The sequence below is a fragment of the Homo sapiens genome, chromosome 15 (assembly GCF_000001405.40).
Source record: "Homo sapiens chromosome 15, GRCh38.p14 Primary Assembly".
In the NCBI taxonomy this organism is placed as follows: Eukaryota; Metazoa; Chordata; class Mammalia; order Primates; family Hominidae; genus Homo; species Homo sapiens.
In genome coordinates, this window is record NC_000015.10 from 20,827,105 (window position 1) to 20,846,952 (window position 19,848).

General features: G+C 39.0%; 1 protein-coding gene and 1 non-coding gene across 5 annotated transcripts in view; one reads left to right on the top strand and one right to left on the bottom strand.

The window, feature by feature from the left end:
- The first annotated feature begins 5,690 nt into the window (after positions 1–5,690).
- Positions 5,691–5,765, top strand: MIR3118-2 (microRNA 3118-2). Its single transcript, NR_036062.2, has one exon. It is a non-coding gene; the product is annotated as a microRNA 3118-2 (primary transcript).
- Positions 5,766–8,267: 2,502 nt separating this feature from the next.
- Positions 8,268–19,848, bottom strand: part of POTEB2 (POTE ankyrin domain family member B2) — a 30,943-nt gene continuing 19,362 nt past the window's right edge. For 2 of the 4 annotated variants that reach the window (NR_102390.1, NM_001277303.1), the window contains 3 exons: positions 18,729–18,895; positions 10,140–10,263; positions 8,268–8,499 (listed from right to left, as the gene is read on the bottom strand). Coding sequence is in view for 2 of the 4 variants with exons in the window: in NM_001277303.1 (NP_001264232.1) it covers positions 8,287–8,499; positions 10,140–10,263; positions 18,729–18,895 (504 nt within the window). In the remaining 2 variants the exon portion in view is untranslated. Of the gene's footprint in view, positions 8,500–10,139; positions 10,264–18,728; positions 18,896–19,848 lie in introns of those variants that run through there. The other 2 variants (XM_006720354.4, XM_017021853.2) reach the window with 2 other exon arrangements.

The following is a 19,848-nucleotide window of genomic DNA, read 5'->3' on the forward strand; positions in this document are numbered from 1 at the left end:
ATATTGAGTTATTTAGGCCAAAGTCAATAAATGGCTCTTAGAATAAGACTTTGAAAATAATGTAATACTCTATGCTAGGCATGGTGGCTCATGCCTGTAATCCCAGCACTATAGGAGGCTGTGGCAGAAAGATTACTTGAGGCCAGGAATTTGAAACCAGCCAGAGCAACATAGTGATAACATAATCTCGACAAAAAATTTTATTTAAAATTAACCAGGCATGGTGACTTATGCTTGTAGATCCAACTAGTTGGGAGACTAAGGCACAAGGATGGCTTGGACTCAGAGTTCATGGCTGCAGTGAATTATGACCAAGCCACTCCACTTCTGCCTGGATGACAGACAGAGACCATATCTCAAAAAAACACAAAATAATCCTATAAATAAGGATTCTAATGCCATAAGCCTTTCCCTAGGCTGTAAATGTTTTATGCTAATTTGAATTGCATTTTTAAAAGTAATGACTCTTGGGGTAGAGGCCATAGAATACAGCACCCAGATATAAATCCACATATTTGCCTTACAAGAAATAAATCCACATTCTTGCCTTACAAGAGCTCCTGAAGGAAGCACTAAACATGGAAAGGGACAAACAGTATGAGCCACTGGGAAAACATACCAAATTGTAACGACCATCGACACTATAAAGAAACTGCATTAACTAATGGGAAAAATAAACAGCTAACAACATCATGACAGGATAAATTTCACATGTAACAATATTAACCTTAAATGTAACTGGGCTAAATGCCCCAGTAAAAAGACACAGACTGGCAAGTTGGAAAAAGACTCAAGACCCATTGGTGTGCTGTATTCAGGAGACCCATCTCACATGCAAAGACACACACAGGCTCAAAATAAAGGGACGGAGGAATATTTACCAAGCAAATGAAAAGCAAAAAAAAAAAAAAAAAAAAAAAAAAAAAAAAAAAAAGCAGGGGTTGCAATCCTAGTCTCCGATAAAACAGACTTTAAATGGAAAAGATCAAAAGAGACAAAGGGCATTACAAAGCAGTGCCATCTGCTTTTCCTCAGGACTCTGCTCCATCAGCCATCAGGTGGCAGCCATTCAGGCTGTTGGAACCTGGCCATCCATGCTTCTTTGAGTGGGTGAGATTAAAGGCTGGTCCAACTGCACCAGGAGCATGCTTGCAGAGGTGGCTGCTTGCTCTTTGAGCCAGCTTGGCTTTGCCTGGCATGCACAGGCCCCAGGTACTGACACGCTACTCTGAGTGAGCGTGTCATGCCTGGGGCCAAATTCTAAGTCTGGCCAGGGTCACAAAAGGCTGAGTCCCCTAGGTTGTAATCCTGGCTGCTTTCTGCACTTGAACATAAAGTCCTCCACAAGATGGCCTGTGATCTGCCTCTTGGCAACCAAGAAGCCCACGGTGCCATATGAGCCCTGAGGCATGGACTGGAGCCCCAAAGGCAGTGTACACCCTGCTCCTGAGCCTGCTGGTCATTTTCTGTGTGGCTCCATTTGTAGCACAGTTGTTGCACTGAGGCTTGTGAATGCCAGGCAAGGCCAAGCTGGCTCAAAGAGCAACCAGCCACCTCTGCAAGGATCCACCTGGAGCAGGTGGACCAGCCACCAACCTCACCCACTTAAGAAGCAGGGAATGTGTGTTTGTACCATGCATTGCACTACAAGTACATTTCTCCTGAGTTTGGTGGCCTAGGTTTTCTTCTAGGTTTTTTATGGTTTTAGGTCTTAAGTTTAACTCTTCAATCCATCGTAAGTTAATTTTTGTATAAAGTGTAAGGAAGTGGCCCAGTTTCAGTTTTCTGCATATGGCTAGCCAGTTTTCCTAACACCATTTATTGAATAAGGAATCCTTTCCCCATTGCTTGTTTTTGTCAGGTTTGTCAAAGATCAGATGGTTTTAGATGTGTTGTGTCATTTCTGAGGCCTCTGTTCTGTTCCATTTGTCTATATATCTGGTTTGGTACCAGTACCATGCTGTTTTGGTTACTGTAGCCTTGTAGAATAGTTTGAAGTCAGGTACCGTGATGCCTCCAGCTTTGTTGTTTTTGCTTAGATTGTCTTGGCTACGCGAGCTCTTTTTTGGCTCCATATGAAATTTAAAGTAGTGTTTCTAATTGTGGGAAGAAAGTCAATGGTAGCTTCATGGAGATGGCACTGATTCTATAAATTACTTTGGGAGATATGGCATTCAGGCACAGAAATGTCCTTGTGTTAGGCAATACCATTCAGGACATAGGCATAGGCGAAGACTTCATCACTAGAACACCAAAAGCGATGGCAACAAAAGCCAAAATTGACAAATGGGATCTAATTAAACTAAAGAGTGTCTGCACAGCAAAAGAAACTATCATCAGAGTGAACAGGCAACCCTCAGAAAGGGAGAAAATTGTTGCAATCTATCCATCTGACAAAGGGCTAATATGCAGAATCTATAAAAACTTAAACAAATTTACAAGAAAAAAACAAACAACCCCATCAAAAAGTGGGCAAAGGATATGAACAGACACTTCCCAAAGGAGACATTTACGCAGCCAATGAACATGTGAAGCAAAGCACTGGTCATTAGAGAAATGGAATTCAAAACCATGATGAGATACAATCTTACGCCACTTGGAATGGCCATCATTAAAAAATCAGGAAACAACAGAAGCTGGAGAGGATGTGGAGAAATAGGAATGCTTTTACACTGTTGGTGGGAGTATAAATCAGTTCAACCATCGTGGAAGACAGTGTGATGATTCCTCAAGGATCTACAACTAGAAATACCATTTGACCCAGCAATCCCATTACAGTGTATATACTCAAAAAAATATAAATCATTCCAATATAAAGACACATGCACACGTATGCTTATTGCGGCAGTGTTCACAACAGGAAAGACTTGGAACCAACCCAAATGCCCACCAATGATAGACTGGATAAAGAAAATGTGGCATATATACACCATGGAATACTATGCAGTCATAAAAAAGGATGAGTTCATATCCTTTGCAGGGACATGGATGAAGCTGGAAACTGTCATTCTCAGCAAACTAACACAAGAACAGAAAACCAAACACCACATGATCTCACTCATAAGTAGGACCTGAACAATGAGAACACATGGACACAGGAAGGGAAACATCACACACAAGGGCCTGTCAGGGTGGGGGGCTAGAAAAGGGATGGCATTAGATCATGGGTTGGTGCATGCAGCAAGCCACCATAGCATGTGTATACGTATGTAACAAACCTGCATGTTCTGCACATGTACCCCAGAACTTAAAGTATAATTAAAAAAAAATAAATTTGCTTTTAATTAAGCTTTTCAACATAGAACTTGTAAAGAAAATACTTCTGAATCTTTTACTACCACATCATAGCTGGGACAAACTGCTGATATTTTAAAAGTAACACAAATATCAAACAGAAAGAACTAGACTTAGGAACCAAACTCAGGTTTCTGTAGTGAACAGGGCAGAATCTTAACTTTGGGTCGCCACCACTACTCCCTCAGTTTGGCCTTGGCTAGCAAAAGATGCAACCACTTATGTAAAAAATAAAAATAAAAAAGTTAAAAAAATCATTTCTGCTAACTGGAATTTTTTTTTTTTTTGCAGCCACATGAGTTTTAGCCAATTCAGAAGCCTTGTTCCCCACAATTTGGAGCATTCTTTGGATTTGACCAAGTCAGGAAGAGATGGGAGAAAAGTGAAACAACAACAACAAAACCCCAAACATAAACAAACAAAAAGAGTTAAGCAAAACAAACAAATGCACAATTCATATGATTACTGAGTGTTCTAATGGTAACGAGAAATTAAAAGCAGCTGGTGAGTAATCTTAAATTTTAGTCATTAAGGAAAAATTTTAAGACAAAACTCTAATTCAGCTACTTACCTGGAAATAAGTCTCAGGCTGGTGATTGTTCTCTGCCATCTTAGAAGCTGGAAAAAACTTACACTCACCTTCCCTGTCAGAAGCAAGCTGAAACTCAAGAAAGGAGGTGCCTGCTCTCCATCATCACGGAAGCAGGAAAACTTGCCTTGTTGGAAATAAGTAAAACTTCAGAAAAGGAGTTGTATAGCAAAATCAACCTTAGATCTCAACCAAATTTTGGGAGATCAGGGATTCTCTGCAGGGGAGAAGCTCCCTAACCTCAGCACATTATCCTATTGGTTTGGGCAATAAAGATAGCCCAGGTTGGTATCAAGCAATAATGAGATTTATCAAAGGTCAGGACCACCTTTGTAATCTCCTTCTCTCTTTTTTTTTTTTTTTTTTTTTTTTTTTTTGAGACGGAGTCTCACTGTCTCGCCTGGGCTGCAGTGCAGTGGCACGATCTTGGCTCACTGCAAGCTCCACTTCCCAGGTTCACACCATTCTCCTGCCTCAGCCTCCCAAGTAGCTGGGACTACAGGCACCCGCCACCATGCCCAGCTAATTTTTTGTATTTTTCGTAGAGACGGGGTTTCACCGTGTTAGCCAGGATGGTCTCGATCTCCTGACCTTGTGATCCATCTGTCTCAGCCTCCGAAAGTGCTGGGATTACAGGCGTGAACCACCGCGCCCAGCCCTCTGTCTTTTTTTTTTTCTTTTTAATCTTTATTGGTATAGTCTGCTTTGTCAGAAACTAGGAGTGCAACACCTGCTTTTTTCTATTTTCCATTTCCTTGAAATATTTTTCTCCATTCCTTTATTTTGAGCCTATGTAGGGCACTGCATGTGAGATGGGTTTCTTGAAGATGGCATACTCCAATGGGTCTTGGTTCTTTATCCAGCTTGCCCCCTGTGTCTTTCAATTGGAGCATTTAGCCCATTTCCATTTAAGGTTAGTAATGGTATGTGTGGATTTGATCCTCTCGTCATGCTGTCAGCTGGCTTTTTTGCAGACTTATGTATGTGGTTGGTTTTTAGCATCACTTGTCTGTGTACTTCAGTGTGTTTTTGTAGTGGCTGGTGGTGGTCTTTTCTTTCCATATTTAGTGCTTCCTTCAGGAGCTCTTGTAAGGTAGGTCTGGTGATAATGAATTCCCTCAGCATTTGCTTGTCTGAAAAGGATCTTGTTTCTCCTTCACTTATGATGCTTAATTTTGCTGGACATGAAATTCTGGGTTGAAATTTCTTTTCTTTAAGATGTTGAATATCTTTTCTGGCTTGTACAGTTTCAGTTGAGAGGTCTGCTAAGTCTGATGGAATTTCCTTTGCAGGTGATGTTGCCTTTCTCCCTAGCTGCCTTTAACACTTTTTCTTTCATTTTGACCGCAGAGAATCTGATGATTATGTGTCTTGGGGATGATCTTCTCATGGCATATCTTACTGAGGTTCTCTGGATTTCCTGAAGTTGAGTGTTGGCCTGTCTGGCTAGGTTGGGGACATTCTCATGAATGATATTCTGAAATGTGTTTTCCAAGTTGGTTCCATTCTCCTCATCTCTTTCAGGTACATTAATCAGTCATAGATTTAGTCGTTTATATAATCCCATATTTCTCGGATGTTTTGTTCATTCCCTTTCATTCTTTTTTCCCCCATTCTTGTTTGCCTGTTTTATTTCAGAAAGCCAGTTTCCAGGTTCTGGGATTCTTTCCTCTTCTTGGTCTATTCTGTTGGATGGTCTTGCACATGAGATGGAGCTGGTCTGACCTCAGCCCTCCCTAGTCTGCTTGCCTCTCCCAGGACCCCAGCCTGGCCACATCTGCTTACAGGGCACTCTCAGGTGCCCACACATACTACAATAATTTTCATAATGCAATCACACACAATCACCGTGTGACTGCATTATGAAAATTCTTCTAGTGTGATTTACAGCTCTGTCAGGTCAGTTATTTTCTTCTTTATACTTGCTATTTTGTCTGTTAGTTCCTGCAATGTTTTACAATGATTTTTAGCTTCCTTGTATTGGATTACAACATACCTCTTTCACTCAGGGAACTTTGTTCCTACCCATATCCTGAACTCTGCTTGTATCATTTCAGACATCTCAGCCTCAGCCCAGTTCTGAACACTTGCTGGAGAGTTGATGCAGTCATTTGGAGAAAAGAAAGCATGCTGAATTTTTGAGTTTTCAGTGTTCTTGCACAGTCTTTTTCTCATCTTTATGGGCTTATCCACCTTCAATCTTTGAGGCTGCTGACCTTTGGACAGGGTATTTTTCCTTTATTATATCTGATGACCTTGAGGATTTGATTGTGGTGTAAGGTGGATTCAGCCAACAGGTTTTGTCTTTGGAGGATTTTAAGGGGCCAACATGCAGCTCCCAATTCTTGGACTGTGTGCTTTAACTCTGGGGAACTTGTATTGGGCCACAACTTTGTTCTCTGGCTCCTCGAGGTTTGGAGTCCACCGCACTGAGGGGACCAAAGTGCGGCAGCTGTGGCAGAATGCTAGCAGATGCAAAAGTCCCTGCCTCCCTGTGGGCATTCACCTAGTGGTGGAGGCAAAACAGCTGGGGTGTGGGCCAGGGGGCCCCTGCTGACTGTGTGTGCTGTTGCACTGGAGGTAGTTCTGGTTTGGGGTGGGTGGCTGGCCAGTGAAGGTGCCTTCTCTGATCCCCCCCAAGCAACAGTGGTCACTCAGGGTATAAGAAGGTCCCTTTTCCTCTGCACAGCATTACCTCAAGGGTGAGATGCTAGCAGGGGTGGGGTTTTTGGTTCTGTGCCCACCATGGCTTCATCTTCAGTGGCAGTTGGTGTGGGTTGGGGTGTGTGCTGCATTCCCATATGCTGTTAGGGCAAGTACAACAAAACCCACCTGTGTAAACACACACAGCTAAGTGATGTAGAAAGTTTCCATATAAAGGGCTGCAGTATGGAGAGGTAATGTGCAGGCTGGTACGTGGCTGTAGAGGTCACCTTGCTGCAGCTCTCCACTGATCAGCCACGGTCCGCTTGTACAGAAGCTATGGTGTGGGCACCCAGAAGTGCCCTCTAAGCAGGTGTGGCCTGGCTGGGGTCCTGGGAGAGGCAAGCAGACTAAGGGGTGCTGAGGTCAGACCAGCCCCATCTCATGTGCAAGACTGCCCAGCAGAGATCAGGTCTCAGAGGAGAACTCTCTCAAAAGTGAATCCTCAGCACAGCACAACTGCTCTACACAAACGCGGCCAGACTTCTTTTTTAAGCAAGTCCCCCTTTTTAGGAAGAGAACTCTTAGACCTGATCTGTGCTGGGCAATCTTGCACGTGAGATGGGGCTGGTCTGACCTCAGCACTCCTTAAGTGCTGGGATAAAGTGTCTCATAAGAGCAAGTGGAGCCTAGAGACATAGATGTCCCTGCCCTCCGGGCTCCACATCAGCTGACTTGCTGCTCCACCACTTTCCTTGTCTCCTGGGGGCTCCACCCCAGAGAGGTGTAAGTTAGGAGTTACTTAATGTAATCACCCCAGGATGGAGGGTCTGTGCTGTGGGCCCAAGCCAGGGTTCCTTGTCTGGTGATGAGCAGTAAGGGGTGTGTTGTACCCGTGGAAGATGGACTGACTTGTTCCTTGTGTCAACTGCAGCTTGTTGGAGGTGTCAATATGGCACTTAGGGTCTTTGCTCCCTTGATATTCTGAGGGTAGCAAGGGCAGTTCCACTGCAGAGGCAGTGGCAGAGAGGATTTCTGTTGCTCCTGGAAGCTCTGTCCAGGGAGTTGCTGAGTTGCTACTGGCTTGAAGGCTCAAGTGGGGGGCTGGCTGGAGACCCAGGCCAGGAAGACCTGCCCATCATGGCCCACCCCTCTCTCTGGGAACTCTGTCCCAGGAAGGTTTCAAATCTCCATTGGCCAGGGAACACTGGTGGGTGTAGCTGGAGGCCTCAGGTGGGAGATCCTGTCCAGTGACGAGGAACAGGATCAGGGGCCTGCTTACAGAAGCATTCTGGCCATGATTTGGTAAAGCAGCTGTGCTATGCCACAGGATCTCTTCTGTCCCTGGTGAGTTTGTACTCTCCAAAGCCCGCACGCTGGAATGACTAAGTTGCCCAAACAGGAAAGATGGTGGCCTGCCTCATCTTTTCTCTCAGAATTTATCCTGTGTGATGGAGCTTAATTTTTAGGTTGTTAATTTTACTGTCAGCGTTAGAGTTGTTCAGAAAGAATCTCACTGTTATCTTTTAGGTGAGATATATAAGAATTCATTTTCTCCTGTAAATAAACCTGTTGATGTTTGTTCTCTGGAAAGAAGTCCCTTTCAGCTATCTGACTTTGATCACAATCATGTAGAGCAGTAGTCAGTCTACAATGACATGATTGAATTTCCATTTCCAGTGTTTCCTAGTTGTGTCTTACATTCTCCAGTTCAGAACTGAGCATTCTCAGTTGTCAAAATCCTAAGCTGTCCACTGTACTTAAATACTGGTTTTCGTTAATGCTTCTTCATTCAGTTGTATAGTCTTTAGAAGTTTTTCTTTTACACTTTCAATTTCCTCCAAAATTTTATTTTCCCTTAGCTGGTTCTGATGTTTTGTTTCATCTAGTTCCAGTCTTAGCTTGGCAATTTCTTCCCGCAACATGCTGTTTTCACGCAAGAGATCTTCTTCTTTCTTATGACTAAGAGAAAGCTAAGTAAACAAAGGGAACTTTTAGTTAGCACTCAATAGAATGACATATCATGATTTCTTCTAAAATCAAAGAATGACATTTATATTTGTATAATGAAATAATTCCCATAGTGGATATTTAACTGGAAAAAAGTTGGACAAAACTTCAAATCTAGAAGAGTGTAAATTCCAAAAAGTTGAAATATTTATCTAAAGACCATGAAAAATAAATCACTAGAGGATTTTTAAGAATTTCAGAATTGGAAAAGCCTTTCTCTGAATTACAAAAAACCCAGAGGCATAAAATAGAAGATTAATACATTTGGCTACATTTTTTAAATTGGGTTTACACTCTGATATCTAACCTACAAACCACACCATCATAAGAGCCTCAGCTATGCATATATTAGGACAGAAGCAATTCCTCAAAGTTCTTTAAGTTCCTTTTTCTGAGGAATGTTTTATCAATATACTGCTTTTCTAATATTTTTACAGTCAGTTATAAGAATTACATTTATTCATAACTGTTAAATCTAAGCGTTGTACCCTTCTACAATGTACACACCGGCATCTAAGCATTGCACTTCTACATACAACACTCAACTCATTTAAGATCACGATTCTTAAAAGGAGAGGTCAAAAAATATATGCAGCCAGGACCAGTGGCTCACACCTGTAATCCCAGCACTTCAGGAGGCTGAGGCAGGAGAATCGTGTGAACCTGGGAGGCAGAGGTTGCAGTGAACTGAGTTTGTGCCATTGCACTCCAGCGTGGGTGACAGTGCAAGACTCCATCTAGAATACACACACACACACACACACACACACACACACATATATATATGCAACGTGCAAGATTTTTGCCAGGTCTTCTGATGCTACTGTTAGTGATCCTCCACAAAATCAGTTGCTTCTGTGGTGTAAATATATAAATACAAAAGAAGCCTTTTATTTCAAAATACAAATGGTAAATAAGATATAACTTACAAGGCTTTTCTTAGAAATCATGAGATTATTTGCCATTGCAATAACTTTTCTTTCCTCTTCATAATGTTTGAAACATTATAGTAGTAAGTGTGAAATACGGGAAACGTACTGAACTATTCATCTGGGAACAAAATACTTATCAATAAATTATCACTAAATGTGTATCATGGCATGTCATTGTTTTCAAAGCTCTTTGCATTGAATTGAGAAACTACTCGGAGCAAACTGTTCCTCTCCTCAAAAGCAAGGATAATGACATCCACAATGTGGCCTCTGACCCAGCTGTACATTTCCTACTTTCCTATTAGTGAAAATAACAAACTGACTTCTCTATTAATATTTTAAAAAGAACTAATGTCCCAAAACTAGCAAATCTGTTGTTAGTAGCAAAACTTATTTTTGATATTGGAAAGATAATCAATTCTTATGAAAAATATCAAATGCTTTTCCTTTGGATTGAGGCCATTGTGAAGGTCACTACTCGACTGTTGCAGGCAAATGCAGTTGAATTAAGAACATGGCTTTATCCTATGTGTACATATATAGATATATGACCAAGGATATACAGGGTGTGTGTATATATATGATTTAAAAATCCTTTATACCTTCCAAAATAAAGCTTTTTAAAAATATACACACATATGAAAACATTTGATAATGACTAAAGAAAATACCTCAGAATTCATTTCCTTTTCAGCCACTTCTATCTGCTTTTGTTTATTAGTCAGAATCTCATCTTGTGATATTCCAGTGTTCTGTTCTTCAGAAAGTTGTTTCTGGGTATCATTTTGTTCGTCACTAGAAGAAATTTTAATTTTCATGAAATACTGGAGGTGTCCCTAAAATGATCTACAGGGCAAGATGGCACCATCAGATGTCATTCACACAATGTATATCTGCACATTAATCCAAGACAAGGCAAAGGGGCCTCACATCTGTTAACCCTGCTCTCCCAGTCATGTTGGCACCAGGGACTAGTTTTGTGGAAGATAATTTTTCCATGGACCTGAGGTGGGGGATGGTTCCAGGATGATTCAAGCACATTACATACATTGTGCACTTCATTTCTATTATTACTAATATATAATGAAATAATTATATAACTCACCATCATGTAGAATCAGTGGGAGCCCTCAGCTTATTTTCCTGCAACTAGATGGTCTCATCTAGGGGTGACAGGAGATGGTGACAGATCATAAAGCATTAGATTCTCATCAGGAGTGAACAACCTAGATCCCATGCATGAGCAGCTTGCAATAGGGTTCAAGTCACACTCTTATGAGAATCTAATGTCACCGCTGATCTGACAGGAGGAGCAGCTCAGGTGGTAATGTGACAGAGAGTGGCTGTAAACAGATGAAGCTTCACTTGCTCATCTACCACTAACTTCTTGCTGTGTGGCCCAGGTCCTAACAGGCCAGGGACTGGTACTGGTCTGTGGCCTGGGGATTGGAAACCCCTGTGTTAACTCAAACTTTTTATGTTTATTTTTTGGAAACAGTTTCCACTTATATTCTTGATTCCTCTGTAATTTATAGACAAATTAGAAATTCCCTTTGGAACAAGACAGGGTCTAATATTGTGTTTTTAACATAGAACTTTGAATTAATTTTATCTGTGTATGAGAGAGAGATGTGAAATAAACTGATCATTAATCGCTTTCAATTTCACTTTTATTTCATGCATATTAAGAAGAAAACTGGGAAGCCCTAGGCAGAGCAATTGGGCAAGAGAAATAAAGGGCATCCAAATTGGAAAAGAGAAAGTCAAACTCTCTCTTCACCAATGATATGATCTTATGCCTAGAAAACCCTACAGACTCCTACAAAACACTCCTAGATTTGATAAATGAATTTAGTAAAGTCTCAGAGGTTACAAAATATACAAATACCAATGAATAGTACCACTATACACCAACTACAACCAAGCTGAGAGTCATATCAAGAATCCAATCCTTTTTACAATGGCTGCAAAATAGTAAAATACCTAGGAATATACTTAATGAAGGAGGTGAGTGATCTATCAAAGGATAACTGGAAAACGCCACTGAAGAAAATCATAGATCATACAAATAAATGAACATACATTCTATGTTCCTGGACTGAAAGCATTGATATTGTGAAAATGCCATAGTGCCCAAAGTAGTCTACAGAGTCAATACAGTTTCTACCAAAGTACCAATGTCATTCTTCACAGAGTTATTTTAAAAAGCTGTCATTCATGTAGAACCACAAAAGAGCCTGAATAGCAACAGACATACCAAGAAAAAGGAACAAACATGTTGGCATCAAATTACCTGACTTCAACTCTAAGGCCACAGTAACAAACATCATGGTACTGGTATAAAAGTACATACACAGATCAATGGAACAGAATAGACAACTCAGAAAAAAGGCCACTTACAACCAAATGATCTCTGAGAAAGGATACAAAAACATACACTGGAGAAAGTACACGTTATTCAACAAATGGTGCTGGGAAAAAAAGATAGTCACATATAGAAGAATAAAATTGGATCTCTATCTCTCACCATGTAAAAAATTAATTCAAGATGGATTAATGGCCTAAACCTAAGACCAGAAGACATTAGCCTAGGCAAATAATTTATGATGAGGACCCTGAAAGCAAAAGCAACAAAAATAAAAATAAATAAATAAATAAATAAATAAATAAAGACCTAATTAAACTAAAAAGCTTCAGCACAGCAAAAGAAATAATCATCAAAGTGAGCCAACCACTTATACAATGGGGAAAATATGGGCAAATTATGAATCTAACAAAGGATTAATGTCCATAACCTACCAGAAGCTCAAACAAATCAGCAGGAAAAATACAAACAATTCCATTAAAAAGTGGGCACATGACATGAATAGACATTTTTCAAAAGAAGATGTACAAATGGTGAACAAGAATATAAAAACATGCTAAATATTACTAATCATCAGGGAAATGTACAATAAAACAACAGTGAGATATCACCTCACTTCAGCCAGAATGGTCACTACTAAAATAAAAAAAACAGCAGATGTTGGTGTGGATGTGGTGAAAAAAGAAGATTTATACACTGCTGGTGGGGATACAAATTAGTACAAATCTATGGAAAACATTATGGAGAGTTCTGTTAAAGTAGATCTTACCATTCTATCCAGCATTCTCATTTCTGGATACCTACCCAAAATAAAAGAAATCATACTCTCAAAAAGACACCTATATACATATGTTTACTGCAGCACAATTCACATATGCAAAGATATGTTATCAGCCAGTGTCCATCAACTGATGAGTGGAATAAAGAAAATTATATATATATATATATATATATATATATATATATATATATATATATATATATATGTATGTATGTATACCTGAGACTGGGTAATTCATAAAGGAAAGAGGCTTAATTGATTCACAGTTACACATGGCTGGGAAGGCCTCAGGAAACTTACAATCATGGCAGAAGGTAAAGGGGAAGCAGGCAACTTCTTCAAAAGGTGGCAGGAGAGAGAGAAGTGAAAGGGAAAGAGCCCATTATAGAATTATCTGCTCTTGTGAGAACTCACTATCAAGAGAACAGCATGGAGGAAACCGACCCCATGATCCAATACCTCCCAGCTGGTCTTTCTCTCAACACCTGGGAATTACAATTTGACATGAGATTTGGGTGGAAACACAAAGCGAAACTATTGGGGGGGGTGTATCCTTACTTTTAAAATATCAAAATGTCATTATTTATATTTCAAAAATAGCAATTTTTATTAGTAATGATTTTGTTTGAAAATAAAATGACCTGGTAAATTTTCTTCAATTTTAGCCTAGTATTTAGTCAAAATATAAAAAGCTGAATTTGCCAGCAGAAAACTGTAATTACTTTTAAATGAGGTAAAGATGTATAAGAATATCACTGTTATTGTACTGAGAAGAAAGTGAATGAGAAAAGGAATTTAAAAAGAGAGTATCACTACCATATACATACATGAACTGACAAAGAGACTAAAATCTCCTACTGGAGATTATGTTAGGACTTGAGCAAAAGCTTCTAAAAATACCAAAAACAGAAAGAAAATAATTAATTTTAAGGAATAAATTATACAGAGAAATACGTATTTTAAAAAAGGAAAACAGATCTTCCTGAGAGCTATTATTAACCAATTCATCCTGACCAAAATTTTAAAATGAAGTCTACAATTCTGGAATATAAAGTACTTTCATTTTGAACATAGTTAATTGAAGGCAACTTTTATACAGAAAATTTTTGGTTAAAGTTGACTCTAACTTAGGAAAGAAATGACTTGTACCAATGGTAACAACAAGCCACCCAAAAGCCAGTTTGAAATCTAGTCAATCAATCAATGACCACTGCTCTTGCTCACCAACCAATATCAATGTGAGCAGCTTGCTTCTGAAATACAGCCACGCAGCAGCACCTGCTCCACCAGAATAGACAGTGCCTGACCAGTATTCCTCTTACTATAGGAAGCAAAAAATTCCAACTCTGTATCTTTATTTCAAATACCAAAGGTTCATAATCCCTTGAAAAGAATTTGTAAGTCCATTAAATGTGCCACCCTAATTTTTTTTTAAATAAAATACTAGTGGCCAGGCACAGTGGCTCATGCCTGTAATCCCAGCACTTTGAAAGGCCGAAGTGGGTGGATCACCTGAGGTACAGAGTTTGAGACCAGCCTGACCAACAGGGTGAAACCCCATCTCTATTAAAAATACAAATATTAGCCAGGCGTGGTGGCATGCCCCCGTAATCCCAGCTCCTTGGGCGGCTGAGGGAGGAGAAATGCATGAACCAGAAGGCGGAGGTTGCAGTGAACTGAGATCATACCACTGAACTCCAGCCTGGGGGATACAGCAAGACTCCATCTCAAAATAAAATAAAATACCAGTAAAGTTTACAATTCCTCTGACTCAGTTTACCATAATTACAATTATGTTTACTAGTAAAAGAATAAATAGTGAATAACCACAATATTGGGCTTTTCTCTCTAAATAAAAAAATAATATAAAGAATGTAGCTTATTATAAAGAGCCAAAACAATTTTTAAAATGCATGTAATTACCGGGCAAAACTGTTAGAATGAACCATGTCAAACATTTTTAAAGTGAGAATTAATCAAACAATATATCCAGGATAAACTCCATTCACTCATTTAATAAGTATTTATTAGGTAGCTTCATCCAATATGCTAGGCCTTTTTCTAGGCAGTGAGGATATGGTAGTGAAAAATAAAAACCCCATTCATGAGAGTGAGAAAAACACACAATAACAACAGACAGATAAGGCAAAATATACAGTATGTTAGAGGAGAAAAACTAAAGCAGGAAAATGAAATGTTTATGTGTTTCATGGGGAGGGTGGGAAAGTTGGGGTGGTCAGAAAAGTCCCTGCTGAGAAAGGGGATTTTTTTTTCTAATACAAAAAACCTTTTATTTGTATATCAAAGACTCTAAGAAATGACGACATAAGGTTAACGGCATTGATGTCAAGATACAAATGGGTTTGAAGTTAGAGATGTTAAATCACTTTGTTTCACTGAACCTTCCCTTCATTACGTTAGAGAGCATCCCTGGTAGGCACCCAATTGAACCTCAAGCATGACGCGTCTAGGTAGCACGCTGTTCTTCCTCAGAAAGTGGTTGTTCCTTAATGTCTTTCTTTTTACCCTTTTTCCTCTTCTTCTTAGAAAGGGGGTTTTAAATAAAGAACTGAAGGAATGGAAAGAGAAAGCTAGGAGGATAACTGGGGAAAAAGCATTCCAGACACAGGGAACTGCGAATCACAGAGGTGTGCCTGGCATCTTTAAGCACTAGGGGTAGATAAGGGACGGCAAGAATTCAGTTTGGCTGAAGCAGAGCAAGGGAGATAATTAGGAGGAACTTTGACACATACTCCGAGTGAAATGGGAGATAATCAGAAGGGCTGGGGCAGAGGAATGACACAATTTGACTTATGTTTTAAATACATCCACTGAGTTAAGAATTGATGAAAAGGGAAGTTTTTAAAAACCAGGACTATCAATTCCCAGTCTATGACACTCATCTAGACTGCAGATGAGGGTGGCTCAGATGTACAAGATATGACTGACTTCTGGACATATTCTTCAGGTAGACCTGACAAGATTTACTGAGAGATTAGATGTGAGGTGTCAGAGAGAGAGAGAGATGAGTCAAGAATGACACCGAGATATTTGGCAGAGCAACTGGAAGAGTTGCCCTTAACCAAAAATAGGAAAGACTACATGAGGTGCAGATTTCAGGAAGGACATCAGTAGCCCAATTTTGGATCTGACAAGTGTGTGATACCCAATAACTAACCAAATAGAGACGTCAAGTAGGCAGGCTGATATAGAAATCTGGAATTAAGGAGAAAGATCTGAGCTGGAGACATACATTCAGAAATCACTAGCATATACACAGTAGAAAAAGTCACGAGGGGCCAGGTGCAGTGGCTTACACCTGTAATCCCAACAGTTTGTGAGACCAAGGCAGACAGATCCCCTGAGGTCAGGAGTTTGAGACCAGGGTGGCCAACATGGGGAAATGCTGTGTCTACTAAAAATACAAAAATCAGCTGGGCACGGTGGCATGCACCTGTAATGCCAGCTACTCAGGAGGCCGAAGCAGGAGAATTGCTTGAACCCAGGAGGCAGAGGTTGTAGTGAGCCGAGATCACACCACTGAACTCCAGCCTGGGAGGCAGAGTGAAACTCTGTCTCCAAAAAAGAAAAAGAAAAAGTCACGAGAAAGAAGACTGAGGAGTGAGCCCTGGGAAACAACAATGTCCAAAAGGAGAAAGATGAGGAGGAGCAAGCAAAACAGACCATGATGAATGGACTAGAAAGGCAGGAGGAAAAGCCTGAGGGAGTGAGGTCCTGAAAGCCAAGTGAAGATGCCGTTAGGGAGGAGATGCCCTCCATTGGCTCAAATATTGCTGACAGATTAAATAAAATGAGGTGGAAGAAAAGGGCCTAGATTTATTACAGAAAAAAAAATAGTGATAATCTTGAGGAAAAACAATGCTGGAGGACTGCTGAAATTGAAGACTTACTGGCATGAGATCAAGAGTGAATGAAAAGAAAATTTGAGTTCGTGAGTGTAGACAGTTCTTTTAAGGACATCATACTTAGGAGTCATGGCTGAGAATGTTGTAATTTTCTTCCACAGTCATGGAAAAGTAATGGACAAATAGTTTCAAATTTTACATAAAAGGTGTAGTTTTCAAATTTTATATAACAATTATATATTTTAAAGCTTATAAAAATTATACACATGTGGCATTAAAAATGCCAGACCAAGGTGTTAAATCTTAAAACTATAGAACTAAAAGTTGCCTTGACCATTTCTAGATTACATAAGCTAATTATCATTTTGTTCATGCTTATACATAAAGACCAAGAAAAACTAAAAGTTTCAAGGAGAGTATTTCTTGCTTGATAAAAATCAGCCAATTCTAGGACAGTTGATGCTCATCGAATATACAAAGTAATTGATCACCATAAAATACTGAATTCTATTAACAGGAATAAAGTGGCAGAAATGCAGAAAATAATCTTATTTTACAAATGAAATTTTTAAAATTATATGAAGTCACTGTGGAAAAATATGGTGAGGTGAATACCAAAATATATCCTTTTCTCAAAGGAAAGATAATGTCACACATGCTGGGCACTTTTATAAATAAGTGTTACTGCATTAGCAGCACCTTCCTTTTAGCACAAGGGTCAGCAAATTAGCACCTGTGGGCCAAATCCAGCCCACTGCCTGTTTTTGTAAGTAAAGAATCTTGGAACACAGCCATGCTTATTCACTTTACAGTCCATAGAGTCAATTAGCTGGGTGTGATGTTGCACACTTGGGGTCCCAGCTAATAGAGAGGCTGAGGTGGGAGGATCACTAGAGCCCAGAAAGTCAAGGCTGTAGTGAGCTGTGATCACACAATTGCACTCCAGCCTGGGCAACAGAGACCCTGTCTCAAAAAAAATAAATATATATAGTCCACAAAGCCTAAAAATTTACTAAATGGCTCTTTGCAGAAAAAGCTGGCCAGCTCCTGGTTTAGCAGATGAAAGATACTTTGATATATTTTAATAAAAGTTTTACCCAATATACTCAAATGTTTATATTAAATATAGATCCCCATGTACAATCCCTTGGCAATATTCAGATTGAAGGTCCAATATTTTGGCACTCAGGCACTGACAACAAAAATTTAATAACTACCAATCTCGTTGCTAACAAGGTACAGTGTCAATGTAGCGTGTAGCTTCCATTTGCAACACAGCAGATATTACAAGAATTCTAACAAAATTATCTTAAGATGTGTTACCAAACTAAATGCTTTAAATACATTTTAATTGTGAAATAATCAGTATACTCTAGATCTAACCTCATTTGTAAAAAATGTTTGCATACCGTATTATTTTCTGGGTATGAAAATTGAGCCATTTCCTATTGGTAAGGATTTACTTTTGATAATGATAAATTCCTATTGATAAGGATCCATCTTTTTGATATAATAACGCTGTAAGAAATGTCCTTATACATAAGTATATATGTGACAAATCTATACAAATATCCTTAACATACATATATATCCTTACTATGTTATATATGTGTGTGTGCAAATATGCTAATAAATTAATGTTCAAAATATATTTACCAACAGTGTATGAATTGTCTTTTTCAATGAGACCATTTCCTTTGCAGCAACACACATGGAGCTGGAGGCCATTATCCTAAGCAAACTAATGCAGGAACAGAAAATCAAATGCCACATATTCTTACTCATTTGTGGGAACTAAACAATGAAAACTCATGGACACAAAGAGGAGAATAACAGACACCAGGGTCTACTTGAGGGTGGAGTGTGGCAGGAGGGAGATGACCAAAAAACTACCTCTCGAGTATTTTGCTTATTATGTGGCTGATGAAGTAATCTGTAGTCCAAACCTCCATGACACAGTGTACCTATATAATAAACCTACACATGAACTTCTGAAGCTAAAATAAAAGTTCATTAAAAAGAAAAGGAAATGCCTTTTCCCTCACATTTGCCAATGCCGGTTATTTTTCAAATAAATTAATGACTGGAAAAAACGGTAACTCATTGTTTACTGATTTTCATTTTTCTGATTAACAGGCAAGGCTGAATATTCTAGTAAAAGTATAAAATTTGTTCATCATGAAAGCCCAAATTAGGATTAGTTTGACAGCATATAGTTATCTCCTATTAAATGTTGCCATAGGCTTACCTGTGATACTCTTCATTCTCAGTGTCAGGAAATTGCTGATTTTCAGGTTTTCTGCTCTTCCTTTGTGGAATTAATCCATCATCACCATTGCCAGCACTGGCACCATTAGTCAGGTTTTCTGGTAATCCCACAGGATTACTTCCATGCTTCTTTATTTCTTCTTCAACCTTGAGTGGAAGTTTGATATTAAGGATGGTTATCACTTTATTGAATAAAAATAACCTTTTTAATTGATTTTATCAATTGACTCAGTTTGCCATTATTTTAGTCATTAAAAATATTTCACACTTAAATTTGATCATATATACAGAACTATAACTGTATAATTTTAAGATGTAATTATCATGTCATTAGTATATCACTGAAATTTTTGTAAAGTTTGCTTGATTCCAGCTGTTTGACTGAATAAAACAGAATTTTCCAAAATTCAAAAAGGGCCCTCCTTCATTTTGTGCTTTTATTCCCAAAAACTCTTCAGAATCTTATATATGAATTTACCCCATTTGACTCGTGGGAACACAAAAATAAAACGACATAGACACAAAATGTGTCTTCTGTCTTTACCACCTAGATTTTACATTAAACACTCAGATGTAGAGGATGAGACACTGGGGGGCTTCAGGAATAGAAAGGAAGATGGCCCTTTTCTGCACTAAGATATTCTCCTCCCCCACTGCCTTTGATCGTTCTTTTTTCATTTGGTTCCTGTATATCAAAAACATGATGGTGCTCACTGAAACATGAAAACCAAAGTTTGCCACAACACAAGGAGCAGAGTGAAACTGCTGAGGTGCAAGCATGGAATTCCAGGAAATTAGATGTTCCCCAAATTTCACATTCAATAGCTATACAATTTTCCAGCTGGAAATTACAAAGAATAAGTAATTATCTTCTTTAGCCACATTATCTAGTGATAATCAGACTAAAACCAAGAAAGATAAAAGGATTGGTCCAAATCTCCTAAAGTGGCATTACCTAGCATTTTATGGCACCATTCAGGATTGTTCCATAATAATGAAAGAATCTCTCTAGGGTTTGTATCTCTTGAAAACTCAATGTACAGAATTCTTTCTGAGTTAAATATTAAATTTTTCACTGGTGATTTATGCTACTTACATGA